Source organism: Homo sapiens, chromosome 2, assembly GCF_000001405.40.
Source record: "Homo sapiens chromosome 2, GRCh38.p14 Primary Assembly".
In the NCBI taxonomy this organism is placed as follows: Eukaryota; Metazoa; Chordata; class Mammalia; order Primates; family Hominidae; genus Homo; species Homo sapiens.
The window spans coordinates 224,008,554-224,036,533 of NC_000002.12; the positions used below are offsets into that span (position 1 = coordinate 224,008,554).

Consider the following 27,980-nt stretch of genomic DNA (forward strand, 5'->3'; position numbering starts at 1 on the left):
ATGAGCCTCTTCACACTCGTTCTTAAACCTTCTGATACAACCCTACAGTCTTGTTAGCCTCCTTGCTTTCCGGTTTGACTAGATGTTTAGGCTCATTTTATACATCTTCTGTTCCAGATGGAATCAGCCACTTCTCCAGGGAGCTCTGGTTCCTTTTAGTGAGAAACAGTAGCACTGAGCACCCTTATCTAATAAACCCTAAATGTTTTAAACTGTGGAAATGCTGAGCAACAGTGATAAGGAAAATCCAAAGTCCATTTACACCACTCTCTGGAATATATCCAAATACTGAAATTCAAATTATGAGAGCCAGACTGGTGACTGTTTCACACCGATGGCTCAAACATCACTGGAAAATCAAATTATGAAAGACCAGCTGCTGACACTGAACGGGTTTGCCTCCCATGGCCATCTAGACCGAGGGAGGCTCGCTGGATGATGACAAGATAAAGGAGTCTGCTGGGCATTAAAAGCTGGGCTGGGAGAATCAAAGTGGATTGCCCTCGTGTGACAGCAGCGAGCCTCCTGAATCAAGCCCAGCCTAAAAATGGAATCCTAACAGTGCAGATGCCAGCGACAAACAACCGACACACAGCACGGCAAGGTGAGTCCCCGGATTTATCTCAGCCTCTCCCCTCCCCGCCCCTCAGTGAAAGCTGACACCTTCTCAGGCACTGGGAAAGTCTCGCCATCCTTCTAGTCTCTGTGTTGCTAGGATCCTGGTTCTTGGAACCTAAGGCCCCTTATTAATCTACAGGGGCTACAGCAGGTAGAGAAAAACAGCAGGTATGTTTTGTCCGAATCATGACATCTCTCAACAGCTTTTCCTGCCAGGGCTTCCCAAAGAAATAAATGTACAGGCCGGGCACGGTGGCTCAAGCCCGTAACCCCAGCACTTTGGAAGGCCGAGGTGGGCAGAGTGCTTGAGGCCAGGAGTTCGAAACCAGCCTGGCCAACATGGCTTAACCCTGTCTCTATTAGAAATACAAAAATCAGCTGGGTGTGGTAGCACATGCCTATAATCCCAGCTACTCCAGAGGCTGAGGTGTGGGAATCGCTTGAACCCAGGAGGTGGAGGCTGCAGTGAGCCGAGATTGTGCTACTGCACTCCAGCCCAGGTGACAGAGTGAGACTCTGTCTCAAAAAAAAAACAACAACAAAACAAATGTACAGGCAAGGTTTGTGGCTGCCAAACTGAGACTTCTGAATGGCCTTAAGTAAAATCGTGCTGTCCAGCATTCAGACCAAACATTTCTCATCAGTACTTTGCCAACACTCAACGGTGTTTGGCAAGAGGCATTCTAGAAACTCTTCAGGAGGTGAGCCATGGAGATTAAGGCTGTCTCTGTAAGATGACAGTAATTGTTAATGTACAAGTAATCGGGGTTAAGCCTCACATATGGTCTCTGTCTCTCAAATCTGTATAAGCATTACTGAAATAATGTCCACCAAGACCTGTATTCATTTTCCAAACATCTACCACATTTTCTTATGATACCAAATCAGGTGAACAAGCAAACTAAAGTACATCTTGGTTATCCTTGGGAAGTGTACTAAGTACTAGCAAAATGACTCAGCATCTTTAAAATTTAGAGAACAAACAGGAAATGCCAACTTATCAAGGGGACAGCAGCTTGGTAGTTTTAAAATGTGTTTTTCAGGTTAGTGGAGAAAGACTTAGAGACATCTGAATTTTTTCTTAAATTTTTGTCTGCCTTCAAAGTGTATGCTCATTCTATGACACTAATTAATTTGGCCAAAAAGGAACCTAAAAATGTTTAGGAAATACCTTTTCAGCCGCTGAAAAGTATGGCAGCAACATCCAAATGGTCCCTTCAATGAAAAGACACATATTTTATTATAAAGTACACTCTGACATCAAGTGCCTTTTATCCATATATTATCCATTCTGAAATCTCTTTGGGTTGATGGGAAAAGGCTAGGGGGAAGGAGGGGATTAGAGCTTTGTTAGCAGTCTGTCTTTTAAAATTCAAGATTACAGGATATTCATTCTATTTTCCTCTAAGTTTCCGGGAAAATTCACCTAAAGTTCAAATTCCAATCCTACTACCCATTAACCAAGAGATCCAAGGCAAGTCACAATCTTCATCCGTCTTAGCTTTGTCCTCTGCCATATTAGAAATCATATCTCAAGGGTGGCCATGGAAATTCAATAGGTGCAAACTGAAAGACATAGTAACCAGCCTAATACCTGGCTCAGAGCAAGTGTTCAGTAAATGCTGGCTCTCTTCTTCTGGTCCTCTTCAATGCTCAAGACCTGAAATACTCTGATTTGTATTTCAGCAACCATTTAGAAAGTCTCAAGGATCAAGCTAAGAAAACAGTCAAACACTGCTACCTTGATAAAGCCTTGTCTGTATCTTTATAACTTCCTTAGACTATTTAAGACTCAGAAATAAATTAAGACAATGCTGGTGCGTTTTGCCGTCTCTGTAAGAGAACTGAGGGGTCCATTACTGTGGGAATGGAGGGGGAGGGGTGAGTATGTCCCAGAAAACCTTTAATAGTGCTGAGATATGTTTTTCGGTCTGCTGACTCAGATCATTAAATCTGGTTTACCTATGTATCAAGTCCTATAGACTTTTCTTTTTGATATGTCTTTAAGACGTAATGGTCCAAATGGCTGATTTCCTAATCCAGCAACCAAGAGGTGACCCAAGACATTATAGTGACATTGACCAATGGTTCTCAATCTTTAAAAACAAGGAAGTACCTTTTTAATTTCTCTCTTCAGCAAGAGACATGGAAGTACCTTTTTTAGACATAAAAAATATTACACATAGTTCATGACCATGTTTTTAGTATTGGTAAAAATACATAAAATACAACCATGAATTCTTAAACATGTCAATAAAATCCAAATTCTTTTTATCAGTACCTAGATACATTTTAAGAAATCATATTTTGAGATATTATTTATCAATCTATAATCAAAACTGGGCCATGAACATGATTTCTCTGATCCTTTAGAATAACCCTGATATGCCTATGGGCCTCCAATTCAGAGACGAGAAACTAACACTCTCTGGATTCTTGCCAATTAAAAAATGAGTGTCAAGTGTTAGAAATGTAAATTGATTTTTTAAAAATCTTTTTTAAAGGCAATCCCTAGTACGCATAAATAATCTTAATAATGTATCTATCTATTGGAACAGTAATACCCCTTCTATCAATCAATCCTAATGTGATAATAAAAAAGATTCAGGTCCAAAAATGTTTACTATTATTTTCAGTAGCAAAAGTATTGCAATATTCTCTGCAATAAATAATTGCAATAGCAATTATAATTGCAAATTAAATCTCCAATGGAGGGGACACTGTGGGTGACCTTTTACCAGCTTTGTGCACTTATCTCCTAGTTTTTATCTGCTTTGTTGCTAATGGTTTATACCTGTTACCTCGGTCAATTACTAGTGGGAGTTGAAGGCCACTTTCTTGGTTGGCCCTAAGTGGTTGAGAGTTCACAAACACCACTCCCTCCCTGAGGACTAACAGCCATTGACTACTGGTCTGCTTGTTAACTGACTCTCCAGAGCTCCCCATGAGCTCTGAGTGTGGGACTTCACCTGGTATTTCTTGCTTGGTTTCTTCCCTTTCTAATTCCCACTTCTCCCCTTCCCTTACTATTTCAACTGGGAGCACTTCCTAATGAATCACTTGCACTTTATGCTTGGCTCAGGGATTGCTTCTGGGAGAACATAACCTAAAATGTCCAACAATAAGGAACAGTTAATGACATCCATCCAACACAATATCCTTTGGCTGTTAAGAACCTATCTCTGAAGAAAACTTAAAGACATGGTAATACATTCTGGATATATCTTAACTGGAAAAAAGTATGGTATAATTAACTATGTAAAAATTATACACAGGCACAAATTAGCCAGGTGTGGTGGCGGGTGCTTGTAGTGCCAGCTACTTGGGAGGCTGAGGCAGGAGAATGGCGTGAACCCAGGAGGCAGAGCTTGCAGTGAGCCGAGATCCCACCACTGCACTCCAGTCTGGGCGACAGAGCGAGACTCCATCCCAAAAAAAAAAAAAAAATTATACACAGGCACAAAAAAAGACTAACAGGACAGATATTAAAATATCTATATAGTTATTTCTGATGGTGGGAATATGAATATTTATTATTCTGTATACCGTTATGTAGCCTTCAAAATTTCTGTAATGAAATCACCACTTATAACAAGCATCCCTTTTCCTTTTATCAGGAACTGAGACTCTGGAATAGCTGAAATGTGTTCTAAAGGGGAGCAGAGAAGGTTATGGAGCACAACAGTGGCTAAACCAAAGGATCATAAAACTTTAATAAAAATGGTATTTACTGGAAAAGGAGAAAGAGTTGAGAAATAATAAAGTGGAATCTTTTTATATACACTAAGATGAATGTTACACCCCATTACAACCCACAGACCATTTCATGTTGAGTTTTTTCAGTAAATGGTGGTGTTATTTTGGTGAACATGATTTGACCTATGTATGTGGCCAAATCTACATATTAGATATTTAATGGTGGGGATTATGACTTAATTTTTTTATTCTCTGTGTTTAGCATAGTACCTGGTATATAGTAGTAACTCAATATATGTTGGGTTTCCTTGCCTTTCTCCCCGGCTCACTGAAATAGGAACGTGGGAGCTGCTGAGTTCCTGCCTGATAAAACCCCATATCCTCCATGAACACTGCCAAAGTGGTGCTCTCACAGCCTAGAAAAGGCATCTCTGTTTATCCATAAGGCATGGACTCTCCTTGTGAGAAAAAGAGGGCCTCCCAGCAGACAGGACAGGCCCTCCTTCAGGTGGCCTTTCTGGGGTGACTTGCACAGGGCGGTTTGGAGACCTAATGCAGTGTTCACTTGCACTTTCCCTCTAGCTGGGTCCTGCTCCCTTTTCACGAGGAAGAGGAGGGAAGCAGGGGTTTGGGCTCCGTTTTGCTTAGCTAAGCAGGTAACTGGATAAAATTGGTTTAGAAAGCTCCCAGGGAGTAAGAACAGTGGTTGTAAGAATAATTTAGATTATATATGAATGTTTTAGGTTTTTCTCTCAGTGGCTGGCTGTTCTGTTTCCTGAACCTGAATGATAGAGCTGGCTTTGGCTTAGGAAGAAAAAGGCAGCCTGTAAGGAGTGACCAGGCGGTAGGTGGGGAGGACTGGTAATGTCATCCACGGTTCCCTACTGCTGCTTTGTGGGTTTCAGGAGGTGCACCGTGTCAGGAGGCTGGGGCTCCTCTATTCCTGCAGAGGAACAGCTGCCCAGTCACTCAGCCTGGGGTTCACACCTTCCGCAGTGCTTGTTGCAGGAGGTTCAGTGTAGTGTGTGCATGTCCACCTCCAGCTGCCAAACTTCTCAACAGGATGTAGATGAACCTGGGCTGACAAATTGGATAAGGTGGGCTGGCAGGCCAAAGCTTCAATTACCAGTACCACATCCTTTCCCTTCTAGGATACACAAAAGTAACTGGCCTCATTCCTTCCTCTCCCAAATAGAGAAGCCTTGGCTTGAAAATTCCAGGGAGTGGCCATGCGAGGTGGCTCATGCCTGTAATCCTAGCCCTTTGGGAAGCCAAGGTGGGTAGGTCACTTGAGGTCAGGAGATCGAGACCATCCTGGCTAACACAGTGAAACCCCATCTCTACTAAAAATACAAAAATTAGCCAGGCATGGTGGCGCACACCTGTTATCCCAGCTGCTCAAGAGGCTGAGGCAGGGGAATCACTAGAACCGAGGAGGCAGAGGTTGAAGTGAGCCAAGATCATGCCACTGCACTCCAGCCTGAGCAACAATCAAGACACTGTCTCAAAAAAAAAGAAAAAGAAAAAAAGAAAAATTCCAGGGAGAACCACTAGGTAAATTGGTATCAATGCAGTCATTGCATTGATGAGAAACAGTCTAGGACTTCAGACGGAGACTCTGATTCTAAACTAAGGAAAGTCAGAGGGAAAGTCAGAGGGATCATTGTGTGGCGCCTGGGGCGAGAGTGGGAATGTGTGTTCTCTTGTGCCCTAGAGCAGGCTTTCTTTATCTCGGCACTACTGACATAACTCTTCAGTGTGGGGGCTGTCTTGGGTACTGCATAAGGAAACCCATATCCACCTGAATACAGAAGACTCTAGATTCTCCTGGGTCTCAAGTGCCCAACAAAACCCACTTTGTTCCTTTGAAGTCAGGGTAGCATTTCCAAGGCTGCCGTGTAAACAAGTGTCCCCTATTAAGTTGGTTTATCCCTTAATTTATCCTACAAATATTAATGAAGCACCACAGTGCCAGGCCTGGCGCTGGGATGCTAGAGAGAGAATAGGCATGAAAAGGGGCTTGGTACCTGCCCTCCCACCTCTCAGAGTCTCAAGGCATGGTTCTCCACCTGGGTGACTCTGTCGCTCAGGGAGCATTTGGCACTATCTGAAGACATTTTTTTTGGTTTTCACCACTAGGTGGGGGCCAGGGAGGGTGGTGCCATGGCATCTGGTAGGTGGGGGCCAGGGAGGGTGGTGCCGTGGCATCTGCTAGGTGGGGGGAGGCCAGGGGTGCTGCTGAGCAGCACCCACAATGCACAAGACAGCCGCCTGCAACAAAGAATTATCCAGCGAAATGTCAGTAGTGCCAAGGTTGGGGAAGCCTGGTCTAGAGGGGAAACAGACCTTAATCAAATCGTCTTATTACTTGATATTTACTTTCATTTTCACGTATTTACTTTACAAATGCTCTGACATCGAGGAGAGTGTGTAAGAATGGAAGCAGAGGCACACCTGGGCCAGGGTGAGAGGCAGTGGCCAGGGAAGTGCTCCTGGGAAGGGCCACATGGGCAGACATTGGAGGATGGACTGGAAGTGACTGGACAAAGGGGCGGAGAGATGGAAGCAAGGAAGAGTATTCCAGACAGAAGCTCTCAAGTGCAAACAAACCTTGTGTTGGGAGGTACCATGGATTATTCTGGAAATATTTTTCCTTTCATACCATCATCACCTTACAGCCTTTGCAAGACAAGGGCAACTCTGTGTCCATGACTCCAACAAATAGGCAGCTCATCAAGACATACTGCAGAACCCAACCGGACAGAAACTGGAAGAATCATTCACACTCCAGTGTCTATCTTGTTCCATGGCTCTCTTTCTCACCACCCGGCACTGCGCATGACAACAGGCAGGAATCAAAACCCTAAGTTGACATTAAAAGCCTGAGTTTCATAAAACGAAAAACTGATAAACTGAAAAACTGATCAATTGGACCTCATCAAAATGAAAAGTTTTACTCTGCAAAAGATCCTGCAAAGATGATGAAGAGACTAGGAGAAAATATTCTCCAATCACGTATCTGTCAAGGGACTAGTATCTAGACTACACAGAAAACTCTTAAACCCCAACTGTAAAAAAAAATCGGATTAGGAAATAAAAGACATGGATAGATATTCCATTAAAGAGGATGTATAAATGGTAAATACGTCCATTAAAAGATGTTCAACATCATTAGCCACTGGGGAAATCCAAATTTTTAAAACCACAATGAGATGTCACTATATGTCCAGATGAATGGCTAATACTAGTGACAACACCAATTGCTGGTGAGGATGCAGAGAAACTGGATCACTCACACATTGCTGGTGGGAATATAAAATGGCACAGCCGCTCTAGAAAACAGTTTGGTAGGTCAGGTGCAGTGGCTCACGCCTGTAATCCCAGCACTTTGGGAGGCCGAGACAGGCGGATCACCTGAGCCCGAGGTCATGAGTTCAAGACCAGCCTCACTAACATGGTGAAACCCTGTCTCTACTAAAAATATAAAAATTAGTCAGTCGTCGCGGCAGGTGCCTATAATCCCAGCTACTCGGGAGGCTGAAGCAGGAGAATCGCTTGAACCCGGGAGATGGAGGTTGCAGTGAGCCGAGGTTGTGCTATTGCACTCCAGCCTGGGCGACAAGAGCGAAAGTCCGTCTCAAAAAAAAAAAAAAAATAGTTTGGTAGTTTCTGTTTATTATTTATTTTTTTTTAATGTAAGTTTGGCCGTTTCTTACAAAACTAAACATGCACTTAACTGTATAATCCAGCAATGCTGGACATTTATTAGAGAGAAATGAAAATCATTTCACATAAAAACCTGTATACCAATGTTCACAGCAACTTTATTTTTTAATAGTCCCAAAGTGGAAACATCCCAGATGTTCTTCAGTAGGTGAATGGCTAAACTGTGGTACATCCACACCACAGACTACTACTCAGTAATAAAGAGAAATAAACTACTGACACACAAAACAACTTGGTTGGATTTCAAAGAACTATGCTGAATGGAAAAGCCTATTTCAAAAAGATGCATAGTGTGTAATTCCATGTATATAACATTGTTGAAATGACAAAGGTGCAGAGATGGAGAATAGATCAGTAGTCACCAGAAGTTAGAGAACAAGAGAGGGAAAGGGATGTGTGTGACGATAAAAGGGAGGCATGAGGGGTCCCTGTGGTGGAAATGTCCTGTATCTTGCCTGTGGTGGTGCCCACACAAGTCCATACATGTGATAAAACTGCATAGAAGTAAATGCACACACCCCAGTGAGTACCTGTAAACCTGGTGAAATCTGAATAGGGTGGGTGGATTGTGTGATGTCAGTTTCCTGGTTGTGGTACTGTACTACAGTTATGCAAGATAATGCCTTTGCAGGAAACCAGGTAAAGGGTACACGAGAGCTCTCTGAATTACTACTTTTTTTTTTTTACGACTGCATGTGAATCTATATAACTATCTCAAAATAACAACAAAAAAACCCTACTGTAAAATTTTAGTCAGCAAACAAATGCCAATGTACCTTAAGACAGATCTTTTTATTTCTTACTTTTTCCCTGTACTGCAAATGTACAATCACACAAAAATGTAATATTTTTGGTCCTTTCAAAAAGAATAGCTACAGTTTTAGGGTGCTTGCATAATTGTACATTCTCATAATTATTTGACTTATAACAGTATTAATTCTTATTCTATAAGAAATTAACAAAAGGATTTAGGACACTATACATGGCCCCTGCAGGTTCCTAAGACAAACCACCCAAGTTCAAATGTCACCTCCACTGCCAATTATCTGTATGACTTTTGACAAGTGCTAGCCTTCAGTGTGCCTCAGCTCCTCCATCTGAAAATCGGTGTAATAGTAGTTCTTACTTTAAGAGTTGTTATAAGGATTTTAAAAAGTACTATGTCTCAGGTTCTTAGGACAGTTCTTGAGGCCCCACTCGAAGCTGGCCTCTGCTGTTACCCCATTTACCACCATCATCACGAAGGCCTGGGGTCCTCTCTTCAGGCTTTGAAGGCCTATACTACAGTCCAGCTTAACATTTCCTCAAGGGCAAAATGTTCAAATATTATAATTTCTAAAAATCAAAACACATGTTTAAAGCTGCCTTTAAGACTTGTGGTCTTTTTTCAATTTCCTTTATTTCTTTGTTATTAGAGGGAGTCAAGGGTCTCTAGTATGTGACTTTATCAGACTTTCACATCTGGTCACAGGTCCTCAGGGAAGGTGACTTGAGAGGCCTTGCCCTCCCCAGGGGAAGCAGCTCAGCCCTGTGACTCCATCGACAGCCCTGATGATGGGCTTAGGAAATGATTGATGGTCACTGGCGACTGAGGAAATGGGCGTCAGGCTCTGGCGATTTTCCTTGTGTTCTTTCCAAGGCTGCCAACCTCATGAATAAGGAAGTGTTTTCCTACCAGCCTGAAACTGAAATAGGGTGGGATTATACTAACATAATTCTTTAAGAAGTTTTAGTGTGTTAAAGCCAGACCAGCCCTGCCTCAGTGGTCAACACATTCCATGATAGAAGTCTAGAGTTTAGGCCAACTCTCATCACAGTTTTGTTTAGATGGATGAAATACCTCATATAGAAAATGCTTGATCATTGCTCAAAGAGATCGTTTAGAAATAAATCTGAGCTCCACTGGAAAGCCTGTAACAATGGTAACTGGAAGATGAGGTAATCCAGGAGAAAAACCCTCCATTTTTGCAAGCAGACTCTAAAACACAGTACTTCTCAAAAAAAAAAAATAATAATAAAATAATAAAAGGGGTAGAAAGATATATAGAAGTCCCTTTATCATAGAAAACCAGGATGAGAAGAAAAAGTACTCCTCACCCCAACCCTGCTGTTCTCCCAGGTTCTATATCTTTCTAAGTGACACCACCAACTGTTCATCCAAGAACCTAAGCCAAAGTCTGGAAACTGTCCTTCATCATTTCCTTTATCCCACAGAACCATCAACAAGGAAAAGCTCTCCATTGTTTGAATGATCCACCCCTCTCAAGCTCCTCTATCCCCAGCCCAAGCCACCAACATCTCCGGAGGAGGACACTGGTCTCCTAGACCCATCTCTCTGCCTGCACTGCCCCAGTGACTCTAAAATCTGAGTCAATCCCTATGATGACTTCTCCATGCTCTTGCAAGAAAATTCAGCACCCTCTCTCCATAGGCTCTGAGTCGGCCTGTCTGGTCTGGATTTGGCTTCCTTTTCCACAGACAGGAGGCCCCCTCAACTGCAGGAAATACGTTCTAAGACCCTCAGTGGATGCCTGAAACCATGGAAAATTTGGAACCCTATATACACTATGTTTTTTTCCTGTTCATAAGTACCTATGATAAAGTTGAATTTATAAATTAGGCATAGTAAGAGATGAACAATAACAATAGTACAATAATAAAAATATATTGTTTTTTATATATTATACATATGGATAATATACTGTAATAAAAGTTATTGGAATGTGATGTCTCTCTCAAAACATCTTACTGTACTGCATGTACCAATTTTCAGACTGCAGGTAACTTAGGCCACCAATAAGGTGGAGACTACAGTGCCCTGTCCTCCTTGCAGTTTACAGAACGTGGTTGGTTCTTCCTAGCCTCAGGCCTTCATGCCTATGTTCCCTCTAACTGGATCACTGTCATCTTCCCTTGTCTTTGTGCCTGTGAGCCCACTGGGGACCTTGTTCATCCTGTTCACCATGGCACCCCAGCCTCCAGCATGGCACCCCAGCCTCCAGCATGGCACATGGACACTGAAGTGCTCAATATATAATGGAGGCATTGATGAAAAAGCAAAGCTTTCAATGATCTGTTGATTACCATCATGTATTAAGGTCAATTACAGTGGCCACCATCTTATAAGCAGGTATGGTCTAAAGCATTTGAGGAAGTCTTTTTTTTTTTTTTTAAAAAAAAAAAAAGAATGTACACATTTCTAGAGCAAAGTTTCACAACCTTGTCACTCTTGCCATGTGGGTCTGGATAATTATTCATTGTAGGGGGCTATCCTGTGTATTGCAGAATGTTTAGCAGTATTCCTGGCCTTTACTCAAGAGATGCTAATAGCACCCCACCCAGATGGACCAACCAAATGTCTGGAGACACTGACAAATGTCCCTGAAGGAGAGAGGAAGGATCACCCCTGGTTGGCAACCACTATTACAGAGAAAGTGGTGGTGGTTAGTATTTTAATTCTGCCTTCAAAATGCCTAGTTAACCCATACTTTGTCTGAATCACACAAGTAATGATGCATTTTAATATGGTATCACTTAACCACATTTACATCATTTTAGTGGGAACATGCATTCCAAATCCCTAGTAATATTTATGAACAACCATGGAAAGGTTGAACTGTCTACCCTGAGAGACTCAGCTTAGCCTCCTGCATCAGTATTCCAGGTGACGTCTGAAGTGAAATGGTACGAAGAATAGAAAGAAAGGTATAGGAGTCAGAAGAGAGTTGGGGGATAGATGGGTCTTTCCATATCTGGTCTGACCATTCATTTGTGTTTGGCATATAAAAACAGAATAGAAACAAGATAACACCTTAGCGTTTCAGGTCCTTCTGGAAAGCACCATCCCATATATTTCCATGGTGGGGCAAAACCCAGGAATGAAATGTGAAAGACTAGGACTCAACACTGATCTCACTCCGTTTGCCCCTCTTCAACTAATATAATATGCTGCTGAGCTTGGAACACCTCTGCAGGAATGCGAAATGATTTCCTAGTTTTACCTGCCACATTGCAACAATATTTTCAATTATTGGCTAAACTGCAAATGCCCCACGAGTCATTTAAATAAATCTCACATGGATGAAATAGTCAATTGTGTTCTCTGAGCAATTCCCAGCTGTAAAAATACAGCCACACCGAACATATTTTTTTCTGCAGCTAATTGAAAATACTGCACATATAATGCATGATTTAAAGCACCCAGGAGGAATTTCAATTTGCATTCCCTATTTTAAATGTACAATCAAATGCTGTCTTAAAGTGCTCCACACATTTAATTCAATATTGCTTGCCTGAAGCCCCACTCCTAAATTTTAGCACTATGAATGGATGGTCAAAGGTTTTTAATGCTCCAAGTGACTTTTTAAAACAATGGCTTTAACAGGGTTGCTTTTCCTGAGAAAACAAACGCTCCTAGACATGACTGGTTCAAACCTCTACGGCCCAGAGAAAATTTCCAAAATAACAGCAAGATGCCTGCCAGGAAAAAGAGACCATGGATAAGGACATCCTTCGTTCAGGAGTCAAACCTGATGTGGTCTCATAAGTGCTCATAGCTGTTGCCCTGGCGTTAGAAATGCCCTTGACATTCTTGGCAGTTGATCAAGATGGTTCATCAAAGGGTGGGTGAAGGCAGCATCTGTGGAGGTGAAGAAAGAAAGGGTGCCCGGAAGCTTGGGATCTGGGAAAAAGGGGTGCCACAAGATGTATGATCATCTTCCATTTCAAACGGAGCTTGAGAGGTTGCACAAACAGTTCATGTGCTCTCCTAGTCAACAAAACAGTGATTCAGGGCCTACATCAAGAGGGAAGCACAAGAGTAGAAGCTTCAAAGATGAAGGGAAGACAGAGCCTGACCTTAAGAGCCTGCAGACTAACAGATGACAGAAATCCTTAAGGACTAAGAAAAGAGGTAGAATGTGACACATTGAGTTTCAGTCAAATGAGGAAGGTGGCTATTTGCCTTTACTTAACATGAAATAACACTATCAGTTGATGTGTTTCCCACCACAGGGTAAATTAGTAAGAGGAGGTGAAAATCAGAAGAGCAGCCACATCTATCCCTACTGGGAAGGATAAGACAGTGACCCACAGTGGTAGCAACCAACAAACCATAACCAAAGAATTAAAAGTATCTGAATTTAAAGTTAAGGCGGGTACAGTGGATCACACCTGTAATCCCAACTTTAAGAGGCCAAGGTGGGTGGATCACATGAGGTCAGGAGTTTGAGACCAGCCTGGCCAACATGGCGAAACCTAGTCTCTACTAAAAATACAAAAATTAGGCTGGGCGTGGTGGCTCACGCCTGTAATCCCAGCACTTTGGGAGGCCGAGGCGGGCAGATCATGAGGTTAGGAGATCGAGACCATCCTGGCTAACACGGTGAAACCCTGTCTCTACTAAAAATACAAAAAATTAGCCGGGCATGGTGGCGGGCGCCTGTAGTCCCAGCTACTTGGGAGGCTGAGACAGGAGAATGGCATGAACCCAGGAGGCGGAGCTTGCAGTGAGCTGAGATCACACCACTGCACTCCAGCCTGGGCAACAGAGCGAGACTCCTTCTCAAAAAAAAAAAAAAAAAAAAAAAATTAGCCAGGTGTGGCGGCTCACGTCTGTAGTACCAGCTACTCATGAGGCTGAGGTGGGAGAATCACTTGAACCCAGGAGGCAGAGGTTGCAGTGAGCCCAGATCACACCACTGTGCTCTAGCCTGGGTGATAGAGTGAGACCCTGTCTCAAGAAAAAAAAAAAAAAAAAATTTAAAGTTAAATGACATAATGAACACCAGATATGTATTTATTGAACAAATGAAAGTACTAGTCATAACTTAGTGTTCTTCCTTAGATAACCCTTAACTTTTATTTCACGAATTAAGAAACAGATAGGAAATAATGAAAGGACTCAGAAATTATCTATTTCAATCACCTGTCACCAGGGGCTATTCTCTTACATTATCTGACATTACAAAATTAGTCCTTTAGACACTCCCAATCTCTGGAAATGAAGGGACCTAGTATGTGAAACTTGGCTGAACCACTAAACCTCTTGTGCTAACTGACTAGAAAATTCCCTACAAGCAACACAGAACTAAAACAAATGGTTTTAGTTCTATGACATGGGCCATTAACTTGCTTTCACATGGTACTTACCAATTGATATGGCTTGGCTGTGTCCCCACCCAAAATCTCTTCTTGAATTATAATCTCCATAATCCCCCTGTGCCAAGGGCAGGACCAGGTGGGAGGTGATTGGATCATGGGGGCAGTTTCCCCCATGCTATTCTCATGATAATGAGTGAATCTCATGAGATTTGATGGTTTTATAAGTGTCTGGCATTTCCCTTGCTTGCACTCACTCTGTCCTGTCACCCTGTGAAGAAGGTGCCTGCTTTTCCTTTGCCTTCCACCATGATTGTAAGTTTCCTGAGGCCTCCCCAGCCCTGAGGAACTGTGAGTCAATTAAACCTCTTTCCTTAATAAATTACCCAGTCTGGGATATTTCCTTATAGCAAGGTGAGAACAGACTAATACACCAATCAAGCCTCCTATAACAAGTGGGCTTCCCATGAAGATTTTGTTAAGGTGAGGAAAGTCCTTATTGGTCAGAGGACCCTCTTGTTATTTATCCGTCTCTTGTGAGTCTGGTAATTGTTAGTCAGTCTCTCTGACCTGCAATGACCCTGGGTATCCTGACAAACTCCCAAGTTTGTCTTCTCTGCTTCATGCTGGGGATCTCCCTCAGTGATGCCATCTAAGCAGCCAGTGTCTCTGACACCATACAAATAAAATGCAGCACCATTTGGTGATCCAGCCTATGTTTATTCTTCTCCCTTTGGCAACAGACACTATTTACTTACTATCTTTCCCAGAGCAATAGAGGGAAGCCAGGAAAGTGCTGAGCTTGTATTCTACAACCTGAGAAGGAAGTAAGGGAAAGGAAGAGCTCAGTGCAGCTAAATCAGCTTCCTAACACATTTAAGTCTACAGGTAGGTTCATTTAAGCAGTTCAGAAACTTTTAAAAAGGTTCAGAAGAAATAAAACAGAGAACATCTTTCCTACCCTCCCTCCAAATATATCAAAGGTGTCATATTAAAATACATGGATTCCAGTAGTACACATGGACTAAACATTTCCCATCTTTTATTAGGTGACTAAAGGGCTACTTTGAGATATGTTTTGGCACCCACAAAAGTAATCCTGTGACACTGGGTAGACATTCTTTTCTTTTTCAGTTCTCCATTCTGGCTCTTGTAATCAAGGTGGGTTTCTTGCACCAAGCCTCTCTACCCAGGCCTGTTGTAAGAAACCCATGCAGCTTTGGTCCATCCATATCCTTCAGTGTAACTTTTTGGCATGAATTACACATAAAACAGTGACCCAGAAAGAGTTTGAACTGGGTACAAGAGGTGGGTGGTCCCTGGTTCCCACATTTTGACTTCTGGGGAAAAATGATATGAGCCATTTTCCAAAATATAGTAAGTAAATAAAAATATATGTATCTGTAGGCACAAGGTATAGAAATACTTCTAAAGTAGGAAAAGGGAATGAGGGATGGGGAAGATATGAGAAGACAACTTCCACTTTAAGAAAGGTTCCTGTGCTTTTATCTCCAACTCTTTGCGCCTTTTGCTTTCTTCCTTCAGTACAAAGAGTTTGCAAAGAAAATCTCAAAAAAATTTTGTAAAAAGGTGATCACTGCCCACCTCTTCCTGCCAAGCAAGCACCTATCAAACGAAAAAAGTTCTTCAAAGCTCAGAAACCATGTTAAGTGATGGGAAACATGGTTCCGAACCTGGATTTAGTCACCCAGCTACTGAGCTTCGTCCTGTAACCTGACTCCATTTCCTTTGCTACAGTTGATGCTAATGCCTTGTGAAGGGATTTAAGGGCCAGGGGACGTTTGCTATTTCCCAGAAGAAACCTATGCCCATTTAACACTACTGTGGAACAGGCCTGTTGTCTAGTCCTGGGCCTGCCTGCAATGGGTAAGTCACATACCTGATCTGCAACTCAGTTTCCTCATCTATAAGATCAGTGATAAGCCTCCTTCCCCACCAATGAACTTCAGAGAGCTGCTATGAGGATTACGCGAAGATGCTGAAGAACAAGTCAATAACTCTTAGGTTCCACAGAACTTTTCTTCACAAGACCCGCCTGCTGCCCTGCTGCCAACATCCAAAGCTAAGATAGGAGAACAGGGACTTCTAGAATTAAAAGTCAATGACAATGGAAGTTCTCCTTCTCAGCTTTATCTAACCTCTGGTATAAGAAACTGCACCAACGAATCTTTAGGGATGAAGGGGGCTGAGCTTCTTTTTGTCATGAAGTTGCATTTTATAGGGGAGAACATCTCCCCAGTTACTCACAGCCAATTATGGAGACAATGATCCCCAACAATGGGGCTGGTGAGTAGCTGCACAGAAGATGGGGGAAGAAACTTTCATAAAGCCCCTACTATGTGCACAGCTCTGTGAACACATCATTTCACAGACTCTTACACACAGAGATGCAGAGAGGTTGGGGAACCTGCCCACATCACACAGAAAAAAAAGAGAGCACACGGGGGTACCCACCACAAGACTGGCACGGCCAAGGGCTTCTCCCAGGGACAGGTCACCTGCCCGCCCCTTGCCCAGTCCCCTGGGTCTCTTTTCATTCCCTCAGAGTGCAGGATTGGCACTAACCCCATTCCCCAGCTTTCACCTCTCTTTTTCCTCCCAGATGTATAAGTGTGTTTCCAGCACATCTGACCAACTTCTCCCACATTGCAAGAGTGAGGCTCCCCTCCTCCAGCGTTAATTCTTTATTTCTTTGATTAACTTCTAATTCCCATGCATGCTTGGATATAGGGCATCCCCCAGATAAGACAGCCCTCTTCTTTTCCCAATGAGAAAATCCCTACCCCCTACAAATTTTGGTCAATCTGCCCAAATAAACTTTATGACTCACATGAAATCACATACCCTATGAGTTAGAAATAGTACTTTTCATTCCATGTCCACCTTCCATGAAGCAATTTAGCTCACAGTCTTCCCAGGTAGTGTCCACATGCCTGTCCTCAATTTGTGAGTTGTGTAACCATTCTTCTAAGCACAGCACCTCCTTACCTTCCAAGTTGCCTATCACACAGCACTTTTCAAAACGATGTGCAACACTGCCACTGAAACACCTACCCTAGGCCATCAGAAGCCCTTCAGAGTGACCAAGAAAGTTGCCCTCAGAGGCAAAAATATATTGACGATCCACACAGCATATTAGTGATCGTGTTACTTTTAAAGTGACCTTCAATGGTCTTAATAAAATTTCAAATGACAGAGGGCAGCTAGCTCTTCAGGAAACCCATTTCCTCTTCTTGCCAACCGCAGAGCTGGGCTACATTTCCTAGCCTTCAAGGTAGGTGGGCGTGACCATAAGGCTGAACTGTTCTTAATGAAATAGGAGAAGTGACACATTCCACTCCCAGGCCTAGCCTATCAAAATCTCCCATATGCAGTCCTCCATGATCTTTCTGCTTCCGCCAGTTCAATGCTGACAAGTACGTGACCTTAGCAGCTGCCTGTTAAATAAAGTGGAACCACAGACAGGAAGAGGCTGGGTCGCCAAATCACCAGGTTTCACATAAACACGCCCACTTCGGGCTTTATACAAGTGGAAAATAATCTTCCATCATGTTTGAGTCACGGTACATATTTGGGTTTATTTGTTACAACAACTAGCACTACCTTAACTAATTCAACGTTCAATATCTGGCAACTCTGAAGTTATAACCTCAAGAACAAGTACTAAATCTGTATTCAATTTCTTTGCCTCTCTTTTTTAAAATTTAACCCCTTTTCATGAAGCAACCTCGATAAGCATTCATAATATGCATTGACTGAGAGAATTTCAGGCGAATTTGCCTTCCCCATCTGTTCTCAGCCAGTCACTCATGGATCTCATCTATCTAGTTTTTTTGCGAACTCTTAATGATTTTGTAAGGACCCTACTAGACGGCAACTCCCTTTCTGAAGAACAATTTTGAGGAAATTTTTTGCTTCAGACACAGTTTCCAAGCCGGGACACTCTTTTCCATAGAGAAACTTCTGTATTTCAGTGCCTTTTCGTGACATACTCAGAAATTGCTCAGGTACCATTTTCAGCTTATGTGCCTGGCCCAGAAGGGATCAGGCCTTAACACAGGCTTGTGTATTCCCGTGTCTTGCTGTCATAGATATTTAATGCTTCACACCTTTCCAAAGTTGTCCATGAAAACTTTTGTCTTCCTTTCTAGGGAATTAATCTCTCCTCTGTGAAGGAGTTACCTGTTTTTCTTCAGCCATAAAGAGCACGTCAGAGACTAAATAGCCAACTCTTAGCTGGTACAAATCAATAAATACCAATTCTACAAAGTTTCGGGCAAAAAGGATTTAGTGGAGAGTCAAGTAAAAGAAAAAATGAGGACGGTTGTGCCCAGGAGGGCTACCTAGACACTGGTGTTTACCAGCTATGTGCCAACATTTCCCTCTGCAGAGAGATTTACCTCTGGCACAAAGTAGTAACTGACACTTAAGTCACTTCTCTGCATGAAGGGCTTGGCATTAGCACTACTGAGCCCCCCTGCTGGCTGTCTGAAAGCTGGGCGTTACTCCCCTAATCTCGCATAGGAGGACACCTGTCACTCACCCAGATTCCTCAGCTACAGAACCATCTTGGGCTATCAGCCTCTCACGTGGTGAGGCAATGCACAGAAAGCACTTTCCTGGCCCATGGCTCGCATGGGCATCAGGGACTGCTGCAGTCTTCAGGGTCACAGACTGCTCTCCTGGTGTCCTGTCCTAACTGAGAGGGAGGGGAGGGGACTTCCACGCAGCCTTCCCCAACAGTTCAGTCCACACTGACCACTGCCAGCTTGACCTCCCAAACATGTCACTGGTATCAACTCATTTTGGCAACTGATTATTGATCCAGTACAGGACTTAGGGACAAGGTGGGAGTGGTAGAAGTGGTTGGGTCTGGTGGAGGAATATTTTATCACCATGATAATAAAAAAAACTGAGGTAATTTCATTTTTGCTTTCAGATCCTCTACAGACAATGCTCCCTGATTGCCTCCCCCTCCCCCATACCATATGCCACTGTTCTAGACTATCTCAAATTGTTATTAAATATCATGGATGTGCCCTTTCTACCTAAATAAACCCCTCAAAGATTGGCCTGTTTTGCAGATACTTCTGTGCCCCTCTAAGCACCTCTTACAGAGTAAGTGCTCAAAAACTAGCTCTTCAGCTGCACGTCACCCAAATACAACAGGCTGCCACCTTCAACTTCCTTCTTGTCCTGTGTGGGGTGTATACATTAAGAACAAGTCTTGTGGACTCTCTTTTACCCTCTAGAATGAATCTTCCTCGAGAACACAGGAGTGAATACAGAGACGACACAATAGAGAAAAAGAGCATGAATCAGCCATGGGACTCTAGGATCGGGTTGTAAGAGCCACCAAGTTATGTGGGCCGCTAAGGGCTAACCAAGGGTGAGTGGCAGGTGATGGCAGTTCTGTCATCAAACTGTACCCAGACTTGGCATCTGGAGAGGTAACAGGTGACAGGAGTCAAAGACGTGAATTCTCAACCTGCCACAGCCCTGCCTTTGCCAAGCAACTTGAGTCACTGTATTTCCTATTTCCCATTTCCCTGCATGTTAACTGGGGACACTGTGATCTTTCTCTGCAAGGAGGGTAATATCCTCATCATTCTCTATTCTCTAGCTATGGAAATAAAGCACAGAGAGGGAAGTATTTTGCCTAAAGCCACACACTACTAAGTGTGGACCTGGGGTTTGAAACCAAGTTTGTTTGACCTCTAAACTCATCCTCTGCCCAGCAATGCTCTGACCTTCAATCTGTGAGGCCGTGCATCACTGCTCAGCCACATGGCTTAGCCTCAATCATTCCTGAAGATAGCGTTTCAGGATCCAAAGTGTCCACCACAGAGAGACACAGACCCGGAGTCTATATCCCATCAGTGGGAATCGGAGCCGGGTGTTCTACACACCTGAATCTCATTTTTCTCACCTATAAACCAGGAATGATTTCTACCTTACAAGGGTTGTTAGGATTCAACAGGATCGTGTATAAAAGATGCCTAATAGTACTTGACACACTGATGATGCATAATTTTCCACTTCCCTCTCCCCTTGGAAGTACTTTTTGGGCTCCTCTGTGCCAGCTATGGTGGGAGGAGCCCAAAAGAATAAGATACTCCACTTGCAGGTTCCTAACAGGGCAGAGAAAACACACGCAGAACCAGAACACAAGGTAGAGAGCAGTACACAAGCACAATTTTGCCACTGTACATGTAAAAAATGTACTTGCCCCACTCGTAGAAATTTTAGGCTAAGAAGTGACATATGCATTGGAAAAACTATGTCTTCATACTTTCCACTATGCTAAATTAATTCAAATTAGTATGATCAGAACTTTGATATTCATGATTTACCACCTTGCTGCACAAGAACAGATTTATTATGAATACTGTGGCATCCTTAGCCAATCCTCCAAATTGTTATTTTAACTAACATGTCATTAAGAAATTAGCACAGGTTTGGCATAAGATAATAGGATTCTTTTAGTATACACATTTCAAACAGAAAAATCCACACCTTTAGAAAGAAAGCTCTCCCTTACAATTAAGTCATCACACAGATTCTCCCTGGCATCCCCTAATCTCACTGTTAGAGCAACAACTCAGGTGTGGGCATATACTCAGACTGCTGTATGAAGTCCAAAGTGGATAACTGCCAGTAAAATCCTTAAAAAAATCCTATCAATGGTAGCAGAAAACACATTTCCTATCTGGGAATGCTTGCTAAGGTTAACCCAACATTCTTAGAACTCTTTTGCATATTGACGGAATCAAATCATAATTAAATGACCATCACCATGTGCTTTAACAATATTCACCATATGTTTAAAATAGTTATTTCTTGGTATCTGGACATCACTGGACACAGTAGAATGATTTTTTCACAGTCAGAAAAACAAGAATGAAAAGAGAAGCCTCTGGATGCTACCCTTGCAGAGACCTAAATATTAAACCAAATAGATTATTTTTCCTACTGTATAGACATTTTTTGTTTTGTTTTATTTTGAGACAGAGCCTCCCTCTGTTACCCAGGCTGGAGTGCAGTGGCACAATTCTGCTTACTGCAACTTCCGCCTCCGGGGTTCAAGTGATTCTCATGCCTCAGCCTCCCAAGTAGCTGGGATTACGGGCGTGCGTCACCATGCCCAGCTAATTTTTTGCATTTTTAGTAGAGACAGGGTTTCACTATGTTCAGGCTGTTTTTGAATTCCGAGCCTCAAGTGATCTGCCCACCTCAGCCTCCCAAACTGCTGGGATTACAGGCGTGAGCCAGCATAGACATGTCTGGCCCTGCATAGACATTTATTCGTTATTCACAACTAACCTAATGGAAAAAAGCAGCCAGCATGACAGGGCTACCTGCAACGTGTTCCCTGGAAGACCTCTTGGTAACACTGCTGTTTACATCTCACAAATGCAAGGGTGGAGTCAGAAGGAGGTTATTTCATGCAACAGCCTTCCTTTGCTTCATGGCCAACGCACAAGAGCCTGAAGCCTGCGGGCAGGACAGATGACCAGGTGATCATTGGGGAGTACTGCCCACTGAGAGTGCAGCAGGAAAGGTGTCTGGAAACAAAGCATGCAAAGACACAGAGCAAGTCACTCATTCATCAGGCCAAAGACACGAGGAAGACATGAGTCTCAGAGAAGTGCTCACCTGTACTTCTGTGACAAATATTACCCAATGCCACAACCACAGCCACCTCGTGTCCCGAAAGTCAGCTCCATTCCTGCCACTGTGCTTAGCGCCTAAGATATACTCTTCGCTTCATCCTCACAACACTTCAGGGGTGGCCCTTAAGCCTAAACACCTTTAGGCCCAACTCACGGATGGGCTTGGAGATGTTTAGAAATTTGGCTTTGGCTCATACCCTCCAATATGTAGCCTCTAGATTCAAACCAAAGCCCGCTGGCCTCCAAATCCTCCACACTCTTAATTACTATACAGTGGAGGAAAAGGAGGAAACACATATTTTAAAATGACAAATTTTGAAATAAAGGTAACTATAAACCTTTGAAAAAGAAGTTAAATCGCAAACAGAGTTCAATTAGGCATGTTTGAAAAGTCATGGCACACTTGTTCTGTGATTCTGCTGAGTTTTATCCAGCTCAGCTTAAGTTATTCGCTTGGACTCTTGTGTAAATCTCTCTACCTTCTCAATCCAAAGGTCAGTACTAATTTTAGATTTCAGTCCCAGAAAAAAACAAGTGTCTGAGGAAGGAACTAGGGGGCCAAAGGCATAAAACCATGATTCAAACGTACCACACAGATACTGGCCTCTTTCTGTATCATGTGTTTTGGTTGTGATACTAGGGCTATCACGCAGCACGGCGAGGAGGTAGTCTTGAAAGGAGGAGTGTGCTTTGACACAAATTTCTTCTCAAGAAGGTATAAACATTGATGGGATGTAAATCTTTGAATATCCATGGTATCAGCTCACGGTTCACACATCTACAGACCCGGGTCCAGGCTCTGGCACTGACACATAAAGGCTGTGCGACCCTACATATTCACAGGGTGTGCCACTTTGGCATACAGGCTGTGTGACCCCCCACATACTGCGTGACCGTGGACCCTTTATCTCTGCCACACCCTTCCTTCCCAACTACATGAGTGGGAATGATATCAGCATCTAGCTGAGAGGCAGGCACGAGGCTCTAGGAGACCACATAGAGATTCCGTTGGGGGGAAAACAGAAAGAAAGGCAGCTGGGGAACGCCAGGCAGCACGGTCCTCTCCACTCCCTTTCCTCCTAACCAAGGATTGACCATGTGATTTGGGATTCAGCCAATCATAGAACCTCCCTCCTCCGCCCACAGCCATTGGTACACGGAAGGGCATGTGACCACGTGACCTAGCATCAGCCAATCACAGGACCTCACTCCTCTGCCCACAGCCATTGGTATCGGGACGAGCATGTGACCATGTGACTTAGCATCAGCCAATCATAGGACCTCACTCCTCTGCCCACAGCCATTGGTACAGCGAACAGCATGTGACTGAAACTAAGCCAATCAGAATTCCTCCCTAGGATTTCCACCCCCCACCCCCCCCGCCGGCTGGAACTGGCTGAAAAGCCCCTCTTTCCTCCTCACTGAGGAGGCTGTAGGGAGGTAAGCCTGGAGCTACCTACAGTCATGGTCCCGGAGAGGACAACCACAATCAGCAGACAGAAGCAGAGATGAGAGGCAAGGAGAAAGAGAAGAAAGCCTCCAAGTCCTCAGTCTTTGGTTCCAGTCATCTTCAGGGCCAGAGTCACCTCTCCCATGCTTGAGTGGGCAGTGTCAGCCAACAGCTCTCCGCCTTGTTTCCGAGTTATTTTGATTTGGGTTTGTTCTCTTGTAAGCAAAAGATAATGCAGTAGTTAATAGTTCCTATAATCTTAACAGTGACCAAATCCTCAGTAAGAATAACTTCTTGAGTGGATTTCTTATTTAAAAACTGCAGAAATAAATTTTAGTAGAGGAAGCAAACATTGCCTTTATTTACATAGCACTTTCCCCAAAGGAAGAAAGAAACATCCATTTTCATTTGTAGTCACCTTATTCATTTCCGAGTGGGCTTTGTATTTGGCATTAAACTCTTTCACATACCCACATCCACCTTCAAGATTTGGCCCATAAAAACTTAGGATAAAAACAAGTGGTTATTTTTTCTATAGCTATATTTGCTGGAACTACATGGAGGGCGAAAGTTGGGGTAGGGGTAAGAGAAGGCACTGATGCTATTTTTGGTATGCTCTCAAGAGAAATTCCCCAGGTTACGAGTTCACACTAGGGGTTGGGGGTGGGGCACGGTTTACAAAAACAAAGTGCATTTACCAAGATTTGCAGCCGTAACAGGAAATCCTTTCTGACTCTTGATGGGATTTTTTCTTTTATATTAAAGTCTCCTCATATTATTCTTCAAAGAATTAAATAAGAAAAATGGAAAGGCACAATGGATGTAAATTCCAATTCTCAAATGATCTTCTGAAGCAAAGGATAATGTCTTACGTCAAACTGTGGCAAAAGCCTGGGTGTTCCTGATCTAATCTTGAACTAGGGTGTCCACCCCAACCTTTGGAGGAATCCTAGGACATGTTTGCCAAAACATACGAGTGGAATTACAAATAGAGGATTGCTTGGGCTCAGTGGCCATCCTCATGCACAGAAAGAATCCCAGAAGGGATGCCGACTTCCCTGGACTGGGCTTACATCCAGACCTAGAAATCTAACAGCAGAATAAAGGCAAGACTCACTGACTGTAGAAATAGACTTGGCCTGTTGGATGGGAGGTGGTATTTCTCAAAAGAGAAATAAAATCATACTAATCTCTCAGTATTCTTAAATTGGGAACTTGCAGACAAGAGATAACCTAAAGATGTAGTTTATTGCATTTGACTCCATTCTGTATCTAAGGGTATTTTTTAAAAACCCAACATTGGTTTTCAGATTAGGCGTGCAATCTACTCATGAGGAAAGATGGTTTGCAAAGAGAAGATGGGCACATTTATGTGTGGAGAACAGGTTGACAAGATTCAAGTATATGGGACCTAATTTATTTAAAATTTTTATAAATGCTCTAAGTGGGAATACAAACTAAATCTTCATGTTGGCCCATGATGCTGTTTCTGAATATAATGCTGAATGATTTTATAGGCTTAAAAAAGTGAGAGACAAGAACTTTAAGGTGTATGAGCACAGGATAATGCATTTACGAAAAAATTTTATCTAGACTTAACACTTATGAGAAAGCCACATCAAAAGGAAACTGAGCCAAGAATTTATAGGTTTTAAAAATAAGACACCTTTTAGATCATTTATTTCAATATACCCATTATACAGACAAGGAAACTGAGTTCTAGATGGTAACCTACACGCTCTATTGGTGGTGCAGCCCATACCCTCTCCCAGCCTGCTCTTTCCACCAAATGTGACTGACGATACCAGCCAAAAAAGTTCCATGGCAAAAAAAAAAAAAAAGTCACCAAGAGGTCATATATCACCATCACCAAAGTTAATAGAAATAAACCAAAATGCATTCTCCTACCCTGTAAAACCACGAAATGCAGAGTGCAGCCCAGCCAACAGACCTCAAGGAGGGCAGAACCATGCCAAAGGGAGGTTCAGATGAGGATAACTGAAGTGAACACAGGCACACAAGTGCTTCTGTATTAGACTTCCGCTTTTCTCTAAGTAATGTTTTATCTCAAAAGACAAGGTTAATCAAAAATTTAAAATGTCTGAGGATATATATTAAATTTGCTAGTACCAAAATGAGGGCTGGAGGTCTGGCAGAGAGAGCTCCCCTTTGAGTCTGGAATACAAACACTCTTCCATAAAGCATGCAGTAAACTTACAAAAAATATGAATATGGTTTAGTTCAGACATCTGTTAATTGCCTTTGGGCCACACACCACCGCTGGTGCAAATAAAACTAAAACACAGGCACGTCTTTCTGGAGCTTAGAGTCTACTGGATAGGGCATGTTGCTACAACACAAAAAACTGCCATCATTGAGGTAGGCACGGGGAGGGGTGACGTGTGTGTACACTGCACATGTGCCACAGAGGGCTGGGGTGGTGACTGCCAGCAAGGCCTTTTTGAGCCTGAGTCTTGAAAAAGGAGAAATCAGCCAGACAATGAACACAGGAGGAGAAAGGGAATTCCAGGCAGAGGTACAGAAGGAGCAAAGGCAGAAAAGCACTGGGCGGTACCAGTGCAGTTTACGGGAGGTTCAGTTTTGCAAGAAAAGAATGTTTCAGGCAGGGGACAAGGCAAGGAGATGGGAAGGGAGTGAAGAAAGCTTTGACTCTGTTGGGTCATTACAAATGGCCAGCAGCCTGGTGAGCCCATGGAGCACTGTGGAAAGTTCCCTGGCTGCATGCTGACAGGAACTGAGTTCTGGGTCAAGACTCTGCCCTAAGGTGTCTAAATGACCTCAGGAACACACTGTATGACTCTGGATACCACATGTAAAACAAGGTTCCCCATGTTCCAAGGGTGGGGGACTCCCTGGGATGGCCTATGCCTCCATATTTACAGACTCCCCACTGCTGTTTGGGATATAGAATCGACCCTGCCCTATCTCCACCCAGGGGGGCTGCGAGGAAGTGGGGCAGTAGTCAGGCTTGTAGAAATGCTTTGTAAACAGCAGGACTGTCATCAACACTAGAACTCTGTATTAACTACCCTACAGAAGCTCAAAAGCATCTTCAGAAACTCGGGTACAACACTGTATAAAGATAGCGGAGAGCTCATCTTTCAATCTTGAGATACCAAACTTGTGATATGACATGGCCACTCCTTTAGAGTCAGGGATTTAAGCCCAGATCAAGAGGGAGCCATTGAATTTTATTAGGAGGGACCCAAGAAGACTTGGATTTGGGGCAGCAGGAGGAAAGTCACACCAGCAATAACATGGAAGAGAGTTAGAAGGGATGCAACATGAGGTGCACGACACTGTGCAGTAAGCACTAGGCATTCCCAGGCTGTCGATGATCGTCTCAGCCTAGGGTCTCTAGCTCTGAAGCCCATGGGAGCCAGAACGCCACTATAAGCAAGGGTCACAGGTCTGGGGGAACCAGAAAGCAACCTACCTCCAGTGTATTCAGGCACTGGAAACCCAGCAGCAGCTGAGGTTTGCCACATGGGAATGTAAGCTTCCTATTCCAGGTTTTTTTTGTTTTGTTTTTGTTTTTGTTTTGAGACAGAGTCTCACTCTTTCACCCAGGCTCGAGAACAGTGGCGCCATCTCAGCTCACTGCAACCTCTGCCTCCCGGGTTCAAGCGATTCTCCTGCCTCAGCCTCCCGAGTAGCTGGGATTATAGGCGCAGCTAATTTTTGTATTTTTAGTAGAGACGCGGTTTTACCATGTTGATCAGGCTGGTCTTGAACTCCTGACCTCAAGTGATCCGCCTGGTTCAGCCTCCCACAGTGCTGGGATTACAGGTATGAGCCACCACGCACTGCCTCATCCAGGTCTTCTGGCTTTTAGGAGAAGCTATACATCCAAGTGGCATCTCCAGATTTCTAAATATTAACTCAAGTTGTATATACTTTGTTCAGGCCAACAACACTGCTGCCTACTGCTAGAAGTGGCACACCGGCCACCATTTTGCCACTTTTGGGCTCTAAAGCAAGGCAAGGCCAGCGTGACTAGAGCGGACCTTTGTGGAATTTCACAGCATGAAGAAGCAACAGGATCTGGTGACAGCCTGCATGTGGGCAGTGCGGGAGCCTGGCATCACCGTGAGACCCCTGCTCCAACATCTCCATGAACGGTGGAACCACTGCCAAAAAAAAACGGACAAATCTTCGCTAACAATGAAGCGGATATGGGGTGGGTGGTGAAAACTAAAATCAATTTTGGATTTATTTTGGGGTGTTTTTTTGGCCTAAAGGGCACGGGTAAGCGCACCAGACTGCAGGTAACTGATTGGAACACAGGAGCATGCTCAAGCTAGCTTAACATGCCAATCTGGGACTCGCTTCATATTGGTGAGAGTCGAAGCTGTGGGAACATGGTTCACCCAAATACACAGAGCACAAAAGGGATGACAGCGAACCCTGGGTAACCCCAAGAGGTAGCAGAGATGCCAGGGAGGAATAAGGAAAACCAGAAGGTGGCAACCAGGGATGGAAAAAAAAAAAAAAACCATCAGAAAGGAATAGAAGAACCTCATCAAATGCCACGGAGAAACCTAGTGGGTATCCATAAGATTGCTTGTTCAGATGAGAACACAGGGACACAGGGAGGGAAACATCACACACTGGGGCCTGTGGTGGGGGGCGGGGAGTGAGGTAGGGGAGGGATAGCATTAGGAGAAATACCTAAT

At 43.4% G+C, this 27,980-nt stretch overlaps 1 protein-coding gene and 1 long non-coding RNA gene across 8 annotated transcripts in view, besides 7 other annotated features; one reads left to right on the forward strand and one right to left on the reverse strand.

The window, feature by feature from the left end:
• The window catches only part of SERPINE2 (serpin family E member 2), a 64,242-nt gene that overhangs the window by 33,509 nt on the left and 2,753 nt on the right, over nt 1–27,980 (reverse strand). Inside the window, exons 1-2 of one of the 7 annotated variants that reach the window (NR_073116.2) lie at nt 22,423–22,925; nt 21,519–21,654 (exon numbers count right to left, since the gene is read on the reverse strand). The gene's annotated coding sequence lies outside the window, so the exon portion shown is untranslated. 7 annotated transcript variants of the gene reach the window in all.
• Nucleotides 324–10,767, forward strand: LOC124907990 (uncharacterized). Its single transcript, XR_007088102.1, has 2 exons — nt 324–604; nt 10,255–10,767. It is a non-coding gene; the product is annotated as an uncharacterized LOC124907990 (long non-coding RNA).
• Nucleotides 745–1,944: an enhancer, noted in NCBI's record as "MED14-independent group 3 enhancer chr2:224874015-224875214 (GRCh37/hg19 assembly coordinates)". NCBI's record gives its function as "activates an origin of replication core promoter dependent on BRD2, BRD4, P300/CBP and CDK7 cofactors, and independent of MED14, by STARR-seq in HCT116 cells {active_cell/tissue: HCT116}" and the evidence as "EXISTENCE:reporter gene assay evidence [ECO:0000049][PMID:35650434]".
• Nucleotides 869–1,444: an enhancer, noted in NCBI's record as "H3K27ac-H3K4me1 hESC enhancer chr2:224874139-224874714 (GRCh37/hg19 assembly coordinates)". NCBI's record gives its function as "activates a minimal SCP1, AML or CMV promoter by ChIP-STARR-seq in primed H9 embryonic stem cells {active_cell/tissue: H9 hESC(primed)}" and the evidence as "EXISTENCE:reporter gene assay evidence [ECO:0000049][PMID:30033119]".
• Nucleotides 6,535–7,034: an enhancer, noted in NCBI's record as "H3K4me1 hESC enhancer chr2:224879805-224880304 (GRCh37/hg19 assembly coordinates)". NCBI's record gives its function as "activates a minimal SCP1, AML or CMV promoter by ChIP-STARR-seq in naive H9 embryonic stem cells {active_cell/tissue: H9 hESC(naive)}" and the evidence as "EXISTENCE:reporter gene assay evidence [ECO:0000049][PMID:30033119]".
• Nucleotides 17,569–17,628: an enhancer, noted in NCBI's record as "active region_17185". NCBI's record gives its function as "activates an Ori minimal core promoter by ATAC-STARR-seq in GM12878 lymphoblastoid cells {active_cell/tissue: GM12878}" and the evidence as "EXISTENCE:reporter gene assay evidence [ECO:0000049][PMID:35858748]".
• Nucleotides 17,689–17,738: an enhancer, noted in NCBI's record as "active region_17186". NCBI's record gives its function as "activates an Ori minimal core promoter by ATAC-STARR-seq in GM12878 lymphoblastoid cells {active_cell/tissue: GM12878}" and the evidence as "EXISTENCE:reporter gene assay evidence [ECO:0000049][PMID:35858748]".
• Nucleotides 18,130–18,769: an enhancer, noted in NCBI's record as "OCT4-NANOG-H3K27ac hESC enhancer chr2:224891400-224892039 (GRCh37/hg19 assembly coordinates)". NCBI's record gives its function as "activates a minimal SCP1, AML or CMV promoter by ChIP-STARR-seq in naive H9 embryonic stem cells {active_cell/tissue: H9 hESC(naive)}" and the evidence as "EXISTENCE:reporter gene assay evidence [ECO:0000049][PMID:30033119]".
• Nucleotides 18,770–19,408: an enhancer, noted in NCBI's record as "OCT4-NANOG-H3K27ac hESC enhancer chr2:224892040-224892678 (GRCh37/hg19 assembly coordinates)". NCBI's record gives its function as "activates a minimal SCP1, AML or CMV promoter by ChIP-STARR-seq in naive H9 embryonic stem cells {active_cell/tissue: H9 hESC(naive)}" and the evidence as "EXISTENCE:reporter gene assay evidence [ECO:0000049][PMID:30033119]".